The sequence below is a fragment of the Homo sapiens genome, chromosome 2, assembly GCF_000001405.40.
Source record: "Homo sapiens chromosome 2, GRCh38.p14 Primary Assembly".
In the NCBI taxonomy this organism is placed as follows: domain Eukaryota; kingdom Metazoa; phylum Chordata; class Mammalia; order Primates; family Hominidae; genus Homo; species Homo sapiens.
In genome coordinates, this window is record NC_000002.12 from 46,119,781 (window position 1) to 46,140,475 (window position 20,695).

Sequence of the window (20,695 nt, forward strand, 5' to 3'; positions counted from 1 at the left end):
GGAACACTCCACCCAGTGTGTTAGTATCACTACTTATATCTTAATTTTGGCTTCAGGATTCTCAACTCCCGTTGCTAGAATTTAGATAGAACTGTTGAAGTCTGTAATGATAATGTGTCTTTTAAAATGTCACCTTGGAATTTGTTGGATTCTCCTGGCTTTTAGTTGGCGGGTACCCTGGGAGTTTGTAGCTGGGAGGCTCCTTGGGCACCTTTTGGAGATGCTATGCTTTGTCTGTTAAGCCCTGGGGCTCCTTTGTTCATAAGTTTTCAAAAGATGCTGTCATTCTGGGACTTAGAAAACTCTTCTCCCCAACATGAAGCTCAGATAAAAAATAGAATTTGGTTTTTAAGCAGTAGCATTGCTAAGAGGAAACGCACTGACCTCATGTTCAGACACTCATCAACCATAGTCTCTTCACCTCCCCAGTGAAAAGTGGTTCTTGATGTTCCTCTAGCATAATGGTTCTCAACCACTAGTGGTTATTTTACCTCCAGGGAAGATTTGGCAATGTCTAGAGACATTTTTGGTTGCTGAAACTTGGGGATGGGGGCCAGGAGAGTGCTGCTGGCATCTAGTGGGTAGAGGCCAAGGATACTGGTAAACATTCTGCAATGCACAGGACGGTCCTCACAACAAAGATTTATCCAGCCTAACATGTCAGTAGTGCCCAGGCTGGAAAACCCGCTCTAGATGCAAAGTTCTCTGCTCATGTGACTCTGAAGGTTTGGGGGTAGCTGTGAGCTAACAGGTCTCTTGTTTTGGCTAGTAAGATTTATACAGATTTTGCCATGGTGTTTAGGTAGAGTACAGCCATATTTGCAGGTTTTTCAGACCCTGGAGAAATCAGATGTAGATGATGTAGGCTTTTTTAACTCTTCTGAAGATAGGAGAAGGCATAAGGGGAGAGACTTCCATTTGTCATTTCACTTCCTTTCTCTACTCAACACGTTTTTGTAACTTCTCAGATTGTATTGACCTTTCTTTCAAAGGATGCCACCCATGTTTCAAAAACCAGAGGCTTGTCTTCTTTTCCTGTCAACGTTAAGTCAAGAAGTATATTTAATCTATCCATACTGTAAAAACTAGAATAGTCTGAATAGAATCCTGCCTTCTTACCGATGTATTAATATCAGTTTTCCACCACTCACAGCTGTTACGTTTGTTCACCATGAATCTGTGGCACTTGACCTACATGATCAGGAAGATGATTTTTAAAAACCTAACTCAGTCAAAGCTGTAAAATTTATTGTCTAAGAAAGCATAGGAGCCTTTTGGACTACTTGGATTCATTCCCAAAGTAAAACCCTTTCTTTTGAGATAAATTGTGTTTCAACCAAACCAAACTTTTTAAAATGTCACTTTACCATCACAGCTCCATCTAACCAGAGTATCTTCACCCACCCTTTCAGCAACTTTTATGGGGATGTTTATGCCAATAATGCTTTGGCATTCTTGGGGTTAATAAGCTTAAGAATGCACAGGCAGACAATTTTCATTTCCACCTTGGTGCACCCGTTGTAAAGTAGGCGTTGTATTGTTTATGGCCTCTTGGGGCCAGACTGCCTTGAATGTTTTATGGCATGAGATCAGTCCCCATGATCTGAGGTGGGCCCCACCCTGCACACTGAGAGATGTCCCCTGGTTCTGTTCTCTCTGACACCAAGGTGCCTGGCACAGTCATTGCCTGTCTTTGACATACAGGTACCTGCAACTCCCTGCCCAGTCTGTACAGCATCACACAGTGGACTCTGAGATATTATAGAGGGGCCCATAGGGAATTTACAGGACCCGGCATGGTGCTGGGCTTGTAAAAGATGGCTAAAAGATATTGACCAATTGGTGGATGGGAATTCTGGGTTGATGGTCAGGCTCACCAAATTCAATGCAAAGATCATAAACGCTAGGCTTTCAGCACGTGTCAGTGAGCACATTTGAACTGACAACAGACAGGTGTGCCAGCCCTAAATGCATACCTGCAGGGCCTCGTACACCTAAACATGTACTAAACTGATGCTCATGAATGCTGTGGACAGGAGTCAAGATCTGATCATGGAGAAAAGACAGCACTGTTCTTTCTTGCCAGTCAGCTCACTCAGCTGGATTTACAGGGAACTTAAAAGGAGTAAATCAGGCCAAGGGAAATCATTTACATTCACCAGTATTCTTCTCTTTTTTTCACCCTTTTTCCCTCCTTCCCTCCTTTTTTCCCATTGAGATATAATAGGCCTACAGTCGAGTGCACAGTTCTTAGATATTAATGAATTTTTACATGAATACACACCTATGTAACCCAAACGAAGATACAGCATATTCCCAGCACGAGGCAGGCTTCCTTAGGCTCCTTCCAGTCAGTGCTCCCCACTGCCCGGAGAGGTAGCCACCATTCTGCCAATAGGTTAGTTTTGTATTTAGGTCTCTTTATTTGTGTTTTTTGTTTGTTTGTTTTTGTTTTTGTTTTGTTTTTTTGAGACGGAGTCTTGTTCTGTCATCCAGGGTGGAGTGCAGTGGCGTGATCTTGGCTCACTGCAACCTCTGCCTCCTGGATTCAAGTGATTCTCCTGCTCAGCCTCCTGAGAAGCTGGGATTACAGGTGCATGCCACTATGCCCAGCTAATTTTTGTATTTTTAGTAGACGGGGTTTCGCCATGTTGGCCAGCTGGTCTCAAACTCCTGACCTCAAGTGATCCATCCACCTTGGCCTCCCAGAGTGCTGGGATTACAGGCATGAGTCACTGCACCCAGCCCACTTATAGGTCTCTTTAAAACTGACCTTAGTGATGAAATATGTAAATAGTCCTCACTGGGCGAGGTTACATCCCTCTGACCTTACCCAGGTTTGGGTTGATAGATGAAGTTCCTCGCTTTTATGAAGAATAATAATTATTATTGAGGGGTTAAATTGGGCCTGACAGTAAGTGTTTTCTGTACATTCTTTCATTTAACCACTGGGAAGATAGCTGCAAGGTAGATAGCATTGTCCCCATTTTACAGGTGAAGAAACTGAGGCTTCAAGTTTTAACATGAAGCAAAAAGGTCCAATGGTCAGGAAGTGGGGGCGCAGTGTTGAAACCTGGCTTTTTCTGGCACAACAGTCTGGGTTTTTTTTTTTTTTTTTTTTTTTAGCAGTACACCAACCAGCACTAGTCACCATTATAATCAGGAGAGTCCTGGTGAAGCCAAATTATTTTTTATGTAAAACTGAGTTATTTCCTCCCTGGTAAAATCTGAGGAAAGATCCTAGAAAGCTTTACCAGATCACCTTGGTCATTGTGGCAATATTACTGCCCAGGGGCCATGGTTTCTGAAATCTGTCTCTGAAATGTATGTTTAAACTTTAAGAGGAAAGTTGACTGAAGTTCACTAGCAAAAAAAAAAAAAAAAAATGTGCAAATACAAGGAAAGGAAAAGCTTTACAAAGGAAAACACTTGCCTTTTTTTTTTTTTTTTTTTTTTTTTTTTTGGTCTACACACAGCTTAAAGGAAACTCAGAGTAAAGAGATAAGCAAAGCACATGCTTTAATATCTTAAACTATTCCCTGCAATTGTGGGGCAGTAGCTGACAAGTAGTGAGGCTGAAATGAGGATCATTTGGGGGAAGTCAAATGCAAGGGATTACTTTTAATGAGGGGATGGATGATTTGTCGTGTTTACTCTTAGAATCTTTGAGATCACATAGAACAAAAGCAAACTTTATGGGTTTCTTTCTTCCTTTCTTTCTTTTTGAAGACAGAGTCTCGCTCTGTCGCCCAGGCTGGAGTGCAGTGGCATGATCTGAGCTCACTGCAATCTCCGCTTCCCAGGTTCAAGCAATTCTCATGCCCCAACCTCCCAGGTAACTGGAACTACAGGCGTGCACCACCATGCCCAACTAATTTTTGTATTAGTAGAGATAGGGTTTTGCCATGTTGACCAGGCTGGTATCAAACTCCTGACCTCCAGTGACCGACCTGCCTCAGCCTCCCAAAGTGCTGGGATTATAGGCATGAGCCACTGTGCCCTGCCAAGTTTTATGTTGTATCTATGTCTTCTTCAGCTCTCAGAAGTTTGGTGGTAAGGATTTGTACCATTCCAACTGCAAAGAAATAAAGTTGCCTACAATGAATGAAGAAGCAAATGTTTACAAGGCATGCACTGATTGACAGGGGTGCTAACTCAAGGCAGTGCTGAGTGCCAGCAGTTGGCATGTGTCAAACAATTTCACCAAGCCATCCTGGGTTGAAAAGTGATTTTAAAATGTTTGCTTTTTAATAAAGAGATATGGCTGGGTATGGTGGCTCACACCTGTAATCTCAGCACTTTGGGAGGCCAAGGTGGGCGGATCACTGGAGGTCAGGAGTTCAAGACCAGCCTGGCCAACATGGTGAAACCCCATCTCTACTAAAAATACAAGAATTAGCCAGGTGTGGTGGTGCATGCCTGTAATCCCAGATACTTGGGAGGCTGCGGCAGGAGAATCACTTGAACCCAGGAGGTGTAGGTTGCAGTGATCCAAGATCGCACCACTGCACTCCAGCCTGGGCAACAGAGCGAGACTGCATCTCAAACAAAAAAGAAAGAGAGATACTAGTGTTGAGTAGCTGACACTATTCCTATTTCTAATTTTAATCGTGTTGCTGCCTTCCGAGATGTAATAAGGAATATGAATAGATGGCAATCTATAGAGAATTTTCTCTTAATGAATGGTTCAATTTTATCCACTGATACTAATATAAATAAGAATCACCTCCTCTGTGAAACCTCGTTTCATGAGTTTCCTTGATACTGCCCTATCACTTTGTGTTCATTCCCCAGTTAGAGACCCCCTCCTTCTGTTAAAAATGACCACATAATCCATGGCTCTGCATTTATGTTCACACTTGTGGGCAGAGGAAAGGGATCATATTCTTTGTACCCAACACTTCACTCATCGATCTACTTGTGACAAACTACAAACTCTTTGAAGACTGGGCTCATTCCCAGTCTTCTATCTCTCTGATCTTCTAATATATCCAGCAAAGATCCTTAGTCACTGTGGGGAATGATAAGGATGATGGTGCTGTATGGTTATAAAATATCACGTGCCCCAAAATAACTAAAAATATTTCTCCACTAGCAACCTCCACTTAATCGATGAATATGGTAAGTCTTGAAAGGAAATTTTTAGACACATTTAAATCTTAGCTGGAAAAAGGGATGGCCTATCTCAAAGTGGCACAAATAAAGAGACTTTGGTATTTATTTGCAATGGTGTCTTGCCTTGTTCAGCCACTGATTGCCCAGTACTTTCTCCCTGTAGCCATTTCTCAAATTCTTCTTTACTGCCATGCTTAGTTATATGTCTGCATGTAAGCTTTAGAAAATTGGAATCTAATTGATTTACAGTTACACTTCTCTAAATATTAGTAGAGAAGTCTTTGGGAAGAGCATTTGGGAAAATGAATTGATGGTCAGTACTATAGTTCATCCAGTCTGTAGAGCTCAGTAATACAAACTGATAGGAAGGGAAAATAGGCGTCATCCCCGGTATGTGGTTGACAAGGAGGACTGTTTGGTTGCTGATGTACTGTGCCTCTCTAGAAACTCCTTTGTACCCAGCCAATAACAGTGACTTTGGGGGGACATTTTAGGTAACAGTGACTGGATTTAAAATAAAAGTTTGAATTTGTGGGAGTCAATTTATCTGAAAAAGAGAAATATTTTCTCAAGTCGGTATATTGGACAAGAGGTGGCTGTTACATGCAGGCCTTAAGAAGAGGCTGGGGGAGGATGGTCGGTTTCCTAGATATGGTTAACCATACATCATCAGGAGAGAAATGAACTGGTCATTGACTTCATCTAGCCAAATTCAACTGACTGATGGAATTTTTCCACTTTTCAGTGTCTTTGAATAATTTTCTTCTCTTAAATTCATGCATGCCAATAAATACAGGCATAAATATACCTTCACAGTATATACAGACACTTAGTAGGTACATAAGTGAGAATTCTGAGAAAAATCAGTGTTCTGCCTATGACAATGAGTCATTCTTAATTCATATTAGAATTAAATAAGCATGAAAATCAAAGTCCATTGCATACATGATTACTGCCAGAGCAGAATGGAGTGTGAATCAAAATCCAGTTGTACGTGTCTTCGTTCTGAGTGAAGTACCTGTTTAAAATGATTAAAAGTGATTTAAGACAAGTTAATCTGCTCCAACAGCATGGCAGATGTAAGCAGCAGGCTTGGACCGCCAAGCCAGAGCCCTAATACTCCAACAGGTCAGTTCTTGCCGAGTGGGCTCAGGCAGTGTTGTTTTACCAGCCTGGCATCCAAGCTCTGGCACAGGTAATGCTGTTTCCAGAAGAAAAGTACTTATTGGATGTTTCTTTGGTAAATACTCCAAAGTGCCTGTTGTCTTAGAAGCAGATTCCATTCAACCCACAGAGATCTCTCTGGGTCTCTTCTTAACCCCTCTGTTCATTCTTAACCATCAGATATTTACTAAGGGCCTATTACATCTCAGGCACTGTGCAGCGTGCTGGGGGGATACAGTGGTAAACAAGACTCAGTTCCTTTGTCCCCTCTTTGTAGACCTCGCTGCCTATTGGGGGCATTCACATTTTCTTGTAATATATACTACACCAGAGGAGGTATAGTGCCTTGGACCCCTTAGGAGGGGCACTGAACCCCCACATGGACTCCCATGGGGGAGTCCATGAATTCTTCTTACAGAAAGTGATGGGAGTTGGCCAGAGAAGGCATTGGCGGATGCTGTTACAGACAGAGGAAACAGTTCATGCAAAAGCCTGAAAGTGAACACTTAATAGGCATAGCTTTTATTTGATATTTACTCATAATTAAATATATATTTCCCATTTGAATATCAGATTAAAAGGCTTTTCCTGGTGGTAATTCTTTTTTAGCTTTCTTGTGTCTCCCCATAGGACCTAACACAGAACCGGGTCTATGGTAAGGGATTGACAACTGTGAATTTCCTCCTCCCTTCCCTTGAGCAGTCCCATGGGAGGGTGAATGCTACCGTCACAGCCCTTACTGGGAGCTGATGAGTGAGGGCTACAAAGAGCATGGAGCCAGTAGATGCTGGAGGCAGGACAAGCATGAGATGAGGAAAGGCTACAGACAGCAAAGACCCACTTCAGCGGTTTACAGTTTTCTTAAGACCCAACGTTAACAGACTTGTCCTAGGTGAGCTCCTTTGAAATATGGGTGTTGTTGAGCTTAAAAATCTAGAGTCAGTGAGTGCTATTTTAAGCCTCCAGACCCTTGGCCTAGGAGTTCAGGGGCAAATGCAGAAAAAGGAAAGCTTGAGAGCCAGAAAGCCCACAGATTTGGGCCTTCCTGGTTAGCTCTAGGGGAATTCTAGATGCTTCAGTGTCCATTCTATGTTTAGCTTCCAGGTTTGTTCAGTTCAAAATTGTTGACCCTTGCCCTTAAACAATTTATCATTGATATTTTCTTCACGTCACTAAAATCCTGGATTCTTAGGATCTTTTTAATACAGTGTCCCGCACAGTGAGTGCTCCAGGTTTTAGTAATATGTTTGATGTGTTCTTTTATTTTGAAGCTGGAGTAGAAACAGCTGTATAGACTTGTTTATATATATAAAAGAGAGAGCACGCCCTAAACCAGCATCTGATCCTAACCTCTCAGCTTCCAGATGTTCACAGTCATGGCAATATTCATCCAGTAGCTAATTTTTGCCCCAGCCTTCTCTTAGGGCATAGAAGCCCACTGCATTTGTAATGCTGGTCATATTGCACTTGATTACTTTTCACAGTATTGGTCTCTGCTATCAACCAGTGCTGTGCACTTGTGGGGAACGTATGATGGCCAGCAGGGCCTCTCCACACTGACTTGGATCTTGAGATAGTTCTGAGTTGGTAAATCTTTGACAGTGAGTGGCTGTCACTGTGGGCAGCCTGTTACCATTGAGGATCAAGGGGTAGACTGTCCTGGAACTTGGGAGTTTGGTCAGAGTTCTCAGTAGTATGCATAGCTCTGCCTAACTTGCATGGATAAAGAATTTGCTGGAAAGACATGAGACAGCTCACAGATACAGTAGGCAAACTGGAAAATCAATGGGAAAATGGACAGGGACTGGGGCTGGACCACAGCTGTGTTTCTCAGACATGGCCGTGGGAAAACACAGTGGGTCAGCTCACAGCCAGTTTGCCTTCATGCCACTGCCTCAAAAGTCACAGGAGTATCAGGAAGGCCAAGCCTTGGTGTTCCATGTTCACACACTGAGGTACGCCCTTTGTGGCAGACAGAGTCTGCTACAGTGGGCAGTAAAGATAAAATGAAAGCAAGCAGGTACAGACACCAGGTTACAATTCCTGGACAAATTATTCCAATGATATCCTCTTTCTATTCCTTACCTGGTTCCCCCTCTAGTTTTTGTTATTGTCATTTGCCATTGTGTTGTTCCCTTCCAGCATCACTTGTAATGTCATCAGTCAACAAAAAAAAAAGAGTAGATATTCGAATCTGTTTACATGACAGTGATTTTTTTAGTATGTGAGAAAGGGGTAATGAACTCATGGTTTAAATGGTCAAGTTTGGAAACTGCTCATGAAGAGCAATTGGAGCTAACATTTGTTAAGCACCCACTCTGTGCCAGGAACTGGTATAAACCCTTTCCATATTACCTCATTTAGGCATCACAGTAAGCCTTTGAAATGAGTACTGTTATCCCCATTTTATGGGTTAGGAACCTGAACCTAAGTGAGACTAAGACATTGTATTCACATAGTGTTAATACTAAATCAGAGTAATCTTCAGACTTAGGCCTGGGAGACGTCACGTTCTCCTGCTCAATCTCAGGCATCTCTGTCTTGCTATTCCTTAAGTAGCATCATAGGAGCTCCCTGTTTTGGTAAACGTTCCCTAATCTTTATGTCTTCGATCTTTTAATCAGTTTTCCAGTGGCCCCAAAGATAGATCTGTGGTTGACCATTAAAAATAAGGTTGATAAGCCAATGAAGTGTCATCACTGAGAAGTCAGGGCTGGATAACCACACACCTAAAGACCTTCTGCACTGGAAATGTTGGTGATCCTGGGGAGAGACCACCAGAGAGTGACCAGGCAGTCAGTATTTCTGGTCCTGCTCGTGGGCACTTGACTCTGGAGCAGGTGCTTTGAACTTGAGGAAAATATGGATGCCATAGCAGATGTGGGTCCTTCTTGGAGGAGCTCAGGGCTTCTCAGGACCTCCTCCACCACCTAGCCTAGACACTGGGTGGTTAAGAGTTTGCCTCTGAGTTTCAAATCTTAGTTTCCCACTCCTATACTAGCTGTGGGCCCCTGAGCAAGACGTGCACCCTCTCTAGGTCTCAGATTTGTCATCTTTAAAATGGGAGTGATGATAGTACCCATTTCAGAGTTTGGGGGAGAATTCGAGGAGCTCCTCCACATGAGGCGCACTAGTAAAGGCTCATCAGCACCGTCAGTGAGCACAGGGTCTTCATGGTTTTCTCCTTGTTTCACATGTGGATGGCAGAAGCCAAGTCTCAGAATGATACCTCCCATCCAAGGAAGGTGGGGGCCCATGGCAGGTGCTCAGTACGTAGCTGTTGATGAGTGGAAAAGAAACAAGGGCATGGACCAGAGTTAATCTCAGCATGTACGTTCACAGCACTTTTACTCCTCAACGTTATTTTATTTTTTTTATATGTGTTGATTGTCGCTTTCCACACTAGGATATAAATGCCAAGAGGACAGGGAACGTGTTTCCATAGTGCCAAGAACAGCGCATGTCACGTGGTAGTCACTCCATGAATATTTGAATACATGAGTGTATGGGTTTTTTTCTATGAAAAGGAGCAAGCTGATGAGGAGCCTGTGGGCAGCCTCTGCCCTGGAACCTCCTGAGCCCTGGGCTGACTGTCTCATTCTTCCATCGGGCACTCCAGGCAGCCTCGTGTTCATGCTGGCTGAAGGCTGCCCACAGGAAGCTGCCTGTGCCTGTTCCTTGCCCCAGCAAACTACAGGGCCCAGGGCAGAGCCTTGCAGATTGGAAGCTGCTGAGTTATGTTGTAAGACTCGCTGGGAAATGCTGCCATTCCGATTTATTATTTTAATTGTTTTATAGTTTATACTTATGCCCTGCAGTGATTTTCCATTAAATCAGAACACTTATGTTTTCAAAAAAGAGCAGGTATGGTTGTGGGTGTATATCTTAACAGCTAATCTCTGGCAATAAAAGCTGTTTGACAGTCATCAACAGATTAGGAAATTAGTATTTGTTTAATTAACCTCCCTTAGGGACTATTAGCACATGAAAATAGCGAGTTTTTTTTAACCTGATAAGATGACAGATTTTGTTCTTGTGTATTCTTAAGGTTTCAGGTATAATTGTTTTTGTGGTTGTTTTCATTTTTATTAGCATAAACCATTGGGTTGGTAAAAATAATTACAAAATTGGAAAGAGACAAATAACACAAAGTATAATCTAATAAGTTACAATTAAACTTTTATTAATTTTATGTCATATTTACACTATATGTATATATTATACCACATAAAATATAAATATGCATACATGAATATACTATTACATATATTAATCATACTGTATACTTTATCATACATACTTTGTTATACATTATATATACTTTGTTATATATAAGTATATAGTATGATTAATATAACATGACATAGATATATAGAAACGTTGAGAGTTACATGTTGTCTGCGTACAGTCTCACAACACATGTTAATTATCTTTTTAGTTTTCACTGAAGTTTCAATTTTTGTCATAGCACTTGCTAAAATAAATTTTTAAGTCATGATTTCTTTATTTCAGAATAGACTGCTTAAAGGATTTATTTGTCATAGATCTGAACCACCAACAAATTCCACATTCCTTTCTTCAGTTTGTTCAAAGCACTTGCTTTCTGGCTGAGAAATATTCCTTCCGCAGACCTCATTGCTCTGTTTCCACTTGGTCTGGCTCATTTGCTGGCCAGCTAACCTACCCACACGTAGCTTCATTAGAAAACACATTAAGATATGTCCTGTACACAGGTAGAAAGTGCTGCTTGTTTTGGACCCTTAGAGTAGCTTGAGAAGAGTAAAACTGCAAATGCCAAATGTGGGTCTGCTGTACTTCGTGTGCGCACCCTTGTGCCATCAGGATACTTCCATGACCTGAATCATAATTGAGAGACTTTTGCTTAAAAACTGGGGGTCACTTTTTCCCAAAGCAGAGATAGGTTATCCTTTTTGAGCACCTGTCTTCCTTGAATGTAACTTACTAATATTTCATCCACATCTATGGCCAAACAACCTGCTCTAGTGTGAGGATAAATCCGGCTGGTGACCACCAGCAAAGTCAGGGATTGAACAGCACTCTGAATTTTAGCTGAATGGCCTCAGGAAAATCCAAATCTTGCTCCAAGTAGAGTCTTTGGGTTAAAGAAGGTAAAAGGAAGCAGTTGGCTGGGGATGGAGTCAGAGGCAGGGGTGAGGCTGTGGCCTTCAGGAGGGCCCTGGAGAGGGAACTCTAGACTCTTCCTGCCAGGATTTGAGAAGTGGTCTTGAAGCTGTGCCCCATGCCTTATCACCTCTGCTGACTCTCCTGGATCTTCTGATACATCTCTGCAAGTTCCCTGGGGGAAGTTACATATCAAGCCATAAGGGTCCACCTTAGCTCAATGACACTGAGCAGATTTGCAAGTAGTTCAGAAGGGATCACAGTTTAGGGAAGGGTGATTTTTAAAAAGGAGGAAGTAAAGAAATGTCCAGAGTATGGGCACCCCTTCTGATGGGCCTGGTGGAGTGGGGAGGAAAGAGAGGGCCCAGGAACACTGAGCTGATTTGGGCTGGGTCACCATTGCCCCAACTAACCTGCTCCTCAGGGACAGCCTAGGATTGGCAAAGGAGAAGCTGCTGGATCCTTCTTGGTTGGAAGACTGGAAGGCATGTGGAGAACATGGAACTCTGGTGGGTTTTCTCTGAATAGGGTTCTTCCCACATGCAGACTCTACTGCCTTGAAAAAGGGCATGTCTCCCAGTGTCACTCCAAGAGTTATTGCTTGCTTTCTTTTTTTCCCCAAGTGGAATTCTGGAACTCTCCTTCTTTCCCATTGGCAGGTTTGAGGTTTACAGTTACTTTCTTTACTAAAGCTATTCACTGGGCAGACCCTGATACACAATGCCTCTATTAGTCTGGAAAGTCTTTTCTCAAAAGATACAACCAATTATTATTTTTATTATTATTATTTATTATTTCTAAATCAGAGTCTCAAAGCATAAAAAGAAAAAATAAACAAATATAAGTAAGGGCACGTGACTTTATCTGCCTGGGCCTCAGCTGGATAAAAAGACCTCTGAACCACCCAAGTTCAGAGCCCTTCACTGACTGACCACGCTCTTTGTTTGAGATTCTCTTTTTGGGTTTCCCAAACACCAAAGTCCTCGGTGGTTGCTCTGTCTCAAGTCCCAACCATCAAGCGTTGTGCTTGCTTACAGATCATTTCCAGCCTTCTTCTCTTGTCACACTGTATGTGATCCTTTTCTCAAAAAATCTCACCCACATTCATTCTTTTCCTCCAGCCCAAACCTTCACATATCACACCTAGTCAGCATGTCCAGTGAGGTGCTTCCAAGGGACCAATAATGTTCAGCATGCACGAGCTGAACTGCTGCTATCCTCCTGCCTCCCTCCAAAGCCTGGGCCTTCCTGGTATGTCATAAGTGCTCAGTAGATGTCCATCACATGGAGAAATGGAGGCTGTCTTTATCTCTAATCACCTTTGATTTTGTAAACTCTACCAGATTATGTCCTCCCTGATGAAGAGGAGGACTCTTCTTAACCGGCCTCATTCGCCTGAGCCTGTGCAGCCTCGTTGTCCATCAAACCACAGGTCTAGGCCCATAACAGGGCATAAGCACAGCCCTGTACCCCTTCTTATTGGCATATATGCATATATGCACACGTGCGCGCACAAACACATTTCTTAGCCGTTGGAAAGCACCGCATGGTCTTAAAGCAAATACCTTCCATGGCCAAATTAAACAAATACAAATGTAAGACTTCTTTTTTAAGAATAATAAAATCTGTTTTCTGTCCCTTCAGAGGTCAGTCCATTTTCAGCCTCCTAACCTTGAATGAGGCCTCTGATATCCTCCAAGTAACTTGGGTGACCCCCACTTTGCAGGAAGACGTGCCTTCCCTACATCCCCGTCAAATTGTGTGGAGTTACATTTGTGTTTCCTCAGCTCTTTATCTGGGCTGGGGTGACCTAAAAGGGGCTAACCAATCTCCTAGCACGTGGCTCCTTATGTGGCTGGACATGGAAGACATACGCCTACTAGTTTTGGCAGCTTCTGGTCCTGACAAAGGAGCTTGAAGTGCGGTTTTCTGGCCTTCCTGTCCGGGAATTCTGGACCCGGTATTGGGTTCTACGGTCCACTTCCGCCAGGCTCCAAGAACGCCCCCAGAAAGGTTACTCTTGGTCCTTTAGCTGGAGTGGCCCTTTCTGTGATGACAGAGTGCTGGCTGGACTTGGAGCTACAAATCACTGGGCCCAAAAGAGGTGAAACCAGCAATCCTTGCCTTCTAAGGCAGTGATGATGTCCTGTTTCTCCCTCTGGTTTTAGAACTTGCCATCCTAGTACTCTGGCCTCATGTCCATCTCTCCTTCTAGACCCTAGACCTCTCCTTGAAAACAGGGATTGTGTCTTTCTTCCCTCTCCCTATCCTGAAACAGACTCTAAGTAGAAACTCAATAACTATTATAGAATTATTACATAGTAGGGGCAAGTAGTCAATGAATATATCAGTGATTGTAATCATGCTGCCAATTTGATGGACGCTAAAATGGACTTCATAGAGACCCTGCCCATCATTTCGTTCTGACATTCAGTGAACATTGAATACTGGGTACTTTGCAGGGCCCTGAGGACCAATCATCATTTCGTTCTGACATTCAGTGAACATTGAATACTGGGTACTTTGCAGGGCCCTGAGGACCAATCTGTGAACACGAAGGCACCATGTCTGTTCTCCTGGAGTTCATGTGAGGAAACCAATAATGCTCAAGGCAATAAGCAAAATAATGACAAGTTGTCATTGTTGTAGAGGAGCTGACCAAAGTGCTGTGACTGACATTAAAGGAAGGGTTGGGGGTGGTAGTGAGGGGCTGCTTCAGGTAAAGTGGCCAAGAGAGGCATCTTTGGGATAAAGGCAGAGACCTCACAACAAGAGGGTGTTGCTTGGTTCTCTTCCTGAGTATAATAGGGAGAATGGGTTGGAGAGTGCAAGAGAATGTTGGATTCAGCTGCCTCTGATGGTTTTGGCCTTAGTTTTAATAATTTTCAATAAAAATGTTTTACTCATTCCATACATTATCTGGAAATGTGTGTTCACATCATCTGGCTGCTTGGGGCCACGATCTGTGAATTCACTTTTCTGCTCTTATTCCTTCATCCATTTGACCAGTAGGTATTGAGACACTGGGATGCATCAGACACTGTGGGAACTTGGAGACCCTGCCCTCATGGAATGGTCCCTTGTGGAGGATAGACACTCATAGTGGAACAGGAGACAGGGACCATCTGAAGGTTCCTCTGGCCTTCTAGCCTTTTCCATCATCATACACTCTCCTGATCCAAACTGGATGGATGAGGCTAGAAGGCCATGGGGGACCACAAAGGGCCTCTCACACCATGCTAACAACCCTGCTTCTGGGGTGCCATTGAAGAATGCAAGCAGCAGGGGAGCATCATCTGATTTACATTTCGTGTAAAAATGCCTGCTGGCAAAGGTTTGCTCCAAAGTGGAAAGGGAAAACATTTGGTGTGCAACAGCCAGGACTGCAAGTTCAAGCAAGTTCTTTCACGGGCTCCAGCTGCCTTCGCTTCCTGGATCTTAGACTGGAAAGGCCCTTGGGGATTAACTCATCCAGCCGTCTTATCTCATATTTGAGGACAGTAATGCTCAGAAAAGTGACTTGCTTGTGGTCACTCTGTCCTGGGCTTTGCCCAAACAGCTGTTTTGATGACCAAGTTGATTGGCCTGGAGAGAGATAGGGGAACTAGGTGTAAGTGTCACGACGGATCGTCAGGCTAGCTCACCCACATGCTGGAAACACAAGGCAATGCCTGCTTCCCCTCAGCAGGGATCAGGATTTTATCCATGAATATTAAGGATAAGAATGTACTTTCATTATTGTGGGTTAAAAAAAGTAATTGGATGATCATGCAATCAGATAAGCAATTCTGTAGTGATTCCAAGGCTTAATGCCCAGGTACAGCCACAGGCTGTTTATTATTATTTTTTCTATTGGCGGGATCAACCAGGTACCAGGCTATTTATTTTGGCTTCAAACCGAGATGTTGTTTGACACCTCAGGCTTCCAGCTGTCAGTGTAGTGTCTAAAAGTCTTCTCTCTCCAGTTGAGAGGACATCTATTTGATCAAAATAGCATTGTCTGGCTTATCTGTTACATCTTATAAGCATGTTTCCATGAGTTAGAAACAACCACCACCCCAACAACTACAACTGTGTTCTCTATCCCATGAAAGGGCGGGCGTGTGGACACGATGTATATTTTTTTCTCCTCAAACAACACAGTGAAGTGATTCAGAGCATGGAAGTGGGGTCAGGCAGGGTGGACTCTGTTGCTCACTCACCACCTGTGTGTCCTGGGCCAGTCAAGTAACCCCTCAAACTCTTTTTCCTCATCTAGCAGGTAGGGATAATAACAGTCTTACCAGATTCACAGAGCACTTGTGGGATTAAATGAAGTAAGAGATAGAAAAGATTTAACACTGAGCTTGGGATACAAAAGCATTTGGAAGAAGAAAAGTAGTTAATTGTGTTGCTCCTAAATGATTGAATTTTCCTATGCAAAGACTTGGAGAGATTTTCCCTGGAGATTGGCCCAGAATGAAATATTATCTTTGACTCTCGGTTATCAGCACTGCAATGGAGAACTTGAAAAAAATTTACCTTGGGTTCAGAAACAAATTATGCTTTTTTTTTTTTTTTTTTTTTTTTTTTAATGTAGGGGAAGTAGACACACTTTGCTTGTCTTTGTGTTTGGCCTCTGGTGGTCTTTGAGGGACTTGCTTCCTGAGAGTGATGGGAGGTGCCTATGTAGAGAATGTCAGGAAGAGGGTGCCTGCCAGTCATCAACATTTGCCACAATGTTGATCTGGAAAAAACGTCTTTCTCTCAAGTGTATTGTTAAATTTATGAAGGTGCTGGTACCATCTGCCAGAAGAACCAATATTCCCATCTGATTGACCACAGTCATTCTCAAGTCTCCACTATTTGTCCCAAAACAAGCAGGATTTCTTCATAATCTCCCTCGAGGGCCTGCTCTAGGACATGAAGTAATTTTTCTAATCTCTTATCTTCAAGTAACTGGAGGAATTTGCTGTTATTTCTGCAGCACTCAGGCCTGAGCTTTGTGGAATTTGCATGCCAGGGAAGTGAGGGCATTGGAAAACGAGCGAAGAATAAAGGAGCATTACAGGGCTCTTCTGTGGTGAATTTTCAAGTCAAGCATAAAAGAATTGTTTCCTATTCTTTCTGATATGTTAAGGGCCTCACGCGTGCTAACGCTTTGCTAGATGCTGTATGGTTTACAGAAGGAGAGTTTTCTGGCTGTTATTCTTAGGGAATCTACCATCAATATAGAAAAATACAATTTTCCAAATGGGAAATGATAAATTCAGATGAGATAGCTGAGGTGCAGGGTAAAGAAAACAGGATTCCACCAAACATCTACAGTTCAGGTCCCAGTCACCTCCCTAGCCTTGTTTACTCACCCCCACCCCACCTTAAGTTCTTTATCTGCAAACCTATGATGATACCCGCTGCCCAGGGCTGTTGTGGGAAGGAAAGGAATACTGTCTGTGATAGCACACAGTGGCAGCCAGTCCTGAGAAGTTGAAGGGTCTGGAAGCTGTCGCATGAATCCTGTTGATCAACATCTGCACAGCCTCACCCCTACCTGTGAGCCCCACTGTCTTTGCTTTCTTCCCTGGGAACTTTGTGTTTCCGTGCACAGTGTCACTCCCCAGTCCCGGGGAAAGGAATCTTGACTTTCTCACCGGGCTATGCTAAAAGTCTCAGTCAGTCTCATCTCTGTTCCACATCATTTGTCCCTTTCCCCTAAGTTACAGTTGCATATACTTCATATGTTTCATCCCACAGCATCTATCTCAGTGCTTTATACACATAAAAGACCTTAAGTATTTTTCAAAAATAAAAGGAGTTTTAGGGATTTAGTGACTTGCACTGGCAGGGAATGTGTATTTTAAGAAATGAGTGTTAGAGACCCCTGGAGGAGGCAGAATTTCTGGGATATCATGGATCAGGCACTGTGCTAGCACTTTCGCAGAGGTTACATCATTCCATCCTGGCAATCCTATCCCCAGTTAACAGATAAGAAAACTGAGTCTTAAAGATATGTTGGACCAGCCCAACCTTATCCAGCTGGTAAGTGGCAGAGTTGGGATATAGATTCAGAACTGCCTCACTTCTTGTCTGACATCGGGAAGAGAAAATATGGGGACCCACCCAACATCTCAGATCACATGTAGGCACAAACAACTTCTTATACATAAATTACTATACACAGAATTAGATACATGCATAGCCAAACCTGGGAGGCAATTCTTAGAAGCCAAAATATGTGTTTCAAATTATTCTAGACACATTGCTAGAGACATGAACAGTCAGTTTGTTTGCTGGGCACGGTGGCTCATGCCTGTAATCCTAGCACTTCGGGAGGCCAAGGCGGGTGGATCATTTGAGGTCAGGAGTTCGAGACCAGCCTGACCAACATGGTGAAACCCTGTCTCTACTAAAATTACAAAAAAAAAAAAAAAAAGATCTGGACAGTAGTGGTGCATGCCTGTAATCCCAGCAACTCAGGAGGCTGAGGCAGGAGAATCGCTTGATCCTGGGAGGCAGAGGGTGCACCGAGATAGTGCCACTGCACTCTAGTCTGGACAACAGAGTGAGACCCTGTCTCAAAAAAAAAAAAAAAGTCAGTTTCTTGTCAAGTTAGAAGTAGAATTTGACCTACCACTGGTCTCATCCCATCTCCAGCATACCAGCATATATCTTGATACGACATCTTCTTTGCATACCAGTTCTCCCTCAGTCTTAGACCATTTCTTCCCCACCTTGCAGCAAAATCACATTAGGGATCTGTTTGTACTCACTGATGCTTTTCCATTTTCCTACCCTAATAAATTAGTTAGTATAGTTAGTCTTAGAAGTCAAACTTTTTGTTTTTCCCCTGAGACTATTACTGCTAGGACTTATTTCTTTCCTGCTCAGATAGGTTTTATAGAATATTTTAAAAGTACATTGTTTAGGGAATTTCCTTTCTTGTCATGTTGTGATTTTCTGGAAGAGATCTTCACTCCTACCGCAGGAGAGCCTTCATTGTGCCATCCTGCCTTGAAGTGGGTCTGCCCTGGTAGAGTCTGTGATCCCTTGTGCTCCATGTTCTCCTCACCACAAAGATTTCTTTTCCCAGCCCAGAGGAATTTTAGTCCAAGCATCAAATAGAGATTTCCAACTCATACGTCTGTCATTTTATCTAATAGGTGGTCACGGGCAGTTATGTAGGGTCAGCCCACGCTGCCTCTTACCAGCCATGTGACCTCAGACAAGTTACCTTTTCTGAGCCTCAGTTTCCTCATACATTTAAACATGTGGGTTGAGGATGCCAATTAGCAGGGTTGGTAGAGTCAGGATTCCCATCTCCTAGGAATAAAATGGCAGAGGATGTACCAGGCGAATGCACCCTTTCCTTATAGCCAGGATGTGCTTTCCAAATCTCTGTCTGGCTTAGTGATCCGGGCCAGGCCGTGTTAGAGCCCTGATCACTGCTTAAGACTCAGATTAGAGCAGTGGTCGTCAACCAGAGGGCCTGCAAGGGACACTTAGCAATGTCTGGAGACACAGTTGGTTGTCACAGCTGGAGAGGGGGCATACTAATAGCACCTAATGCATCTAATGCATAACATCTCATAGCATCTAATGCGTAGAGACCAGGGTGCTAGTAAACATCCTGTAGTACACAGCACAGCCCCCCACAACACAGGATTATCCAGTCCCAAATGTCAATCTCGTCCCAGCATGCCAAGGTTAAGACACACTGGACTCAAGGGAAGCTGAAGAGCCTGGTTCTTATCACCTTCCTATAGCCCACATCCCAGTTGGCTCTTGGCACTGGGGGAGGAAGTGGGGTTCCATGGAAGTTCTCGTAAGTCTTCAGTCGAGTGGAGAGTAAAGTAGCCATCTATCCAGGTGTCAGGCAACAAGGGCTATCGCAAAGGCATTCAGGCTGAGGGGGAAATGCTAGGAGTGGCCCTCCTAAAATCAGGGACCACCAAAGATGCTATCACCATTATTACTTAGCATTGTTCTTGAGGTTGCAGTCAACACAATCAGACACAAGAAATGAATTAGAAGTATAAATACTAAAAAGGAAGAGGTAAATTAATCATTAATAGCAGACAATTTGAAAAATCCAGGAGAATCAACTGGAAAACTGTTACAAAAATAGAGGGTTCGGTATAATGGCAGGGCACAGAATGATAAACATAAATCAATACCTAGCCTATACATGTGTGAGCAGATAGAAGATATAACGGAAGAAAGCCCCCATTTACCAGAAGAATTTAAAATATAAAATAATAGCCTGGATTATTTTGAAGTGGATTCCATTGCAATTAACACATAAACCCAAAACAACTGTGCTCTAAATAAGATACAAGTTTCTTTCTTTTTCATATGAAAGTTATCTGAAGGCTGATGGTCCAGTTACCATTCCTAGGACTTAGTCCTTGTCTTTATGGTTGTAGGTGGCTGCTACTACTTTAGGCATTATGTCCTCATTCATGCAATATACAGAATATATAGAGGAACATATATATATATATGCGTATATATATGTGTGTGTATATATATACATATATACATATACATATATATCTAGAGAGAGAGAGAGAGAATATATAGAAGGAGGAAAGAAAAAGAAGAGTAAGGCTCTTCCTTTTAAGGAGACTTCCACATATCTGATTGCCTAGAACCTAGTCACATAACTACACCCTGCTCCAAGGGCAGCTTTTAATTCTAGTTCATGGCTGCGTAGCTATGTGCCTGGCTTAAAAAATAGAAAGTAAATGTTCTCTTACAAAGGAAGAAAGTGAGAATAGATATTGGGACAACCAGAAATCTGCCATAAAATGTCATAAGAAATTTATAAGATCTATATGAGAGAATTTTAAAATGCTCCTAAGGGACACAGATGACATGAAAATGGAAAGACACAAAGTATTATTGGATAAGAAGGGAAGACTCAACATCATAAAAATATCAACTCTCCCTAAGTTAATTTATAACTTTAAACATATTCACAATAAAGACATCACCAGGATTGTTTTTTAACTAGACAAATGATTCTAAAGTTCATATGGAAAAATAAACAGGAATGGCCAGGAAATTTTGAAAAATAATAATATGTAGACTGGTACTACCAAGTGTTAAAAGGCATTATAAACCTGCAATAATTAAAAGAGTGTGGTATAGAGTGACGTTATAGAATAAAAGATACAGGAAAAATCCAAGTGCACATGAGGATTTAGTACTAGTATTTGATAAAGGTGGTATTTCAATCAGTGAGGAAAAGATGACCTATTCAACGTAAGGGACTGGGACAACTTACTAAGTTTCT

At 42.6% G+C, this 20,695-nt stretch overlaps 1 protein-coding gene across 18 annotated transcripts in view, besides 1 other annotated feature; it reads left to right on the top strand.

Moving 5' to 3' along the window:
* Positions 1-20,695, top strand: part of PRKCE (protein kinase C epsilon) — a 536,712-nt gene that overhangs the window by 468,502 nt on the left and 47,515 nt on the right. The gene's annotated exons all lie outside the window — the stretch shown is intronic.
* Positions 7,265-7,434: an enhancer, noted in NCBI's record as "experimental_58540 CRE fragment used in MPRA reporter constructs". NCBI's record gives its function as "activates a minimal promoter by MPRAs in K562 erythroleukemia cells, with activity observed for both the introgressed and non-introgressed 2:46354269 variant alleles {active_cell/tissue: K562}" and the evidence as "EXISTENCE:reporter gene assay evidence [ECO:0000049][PMID:34662402]".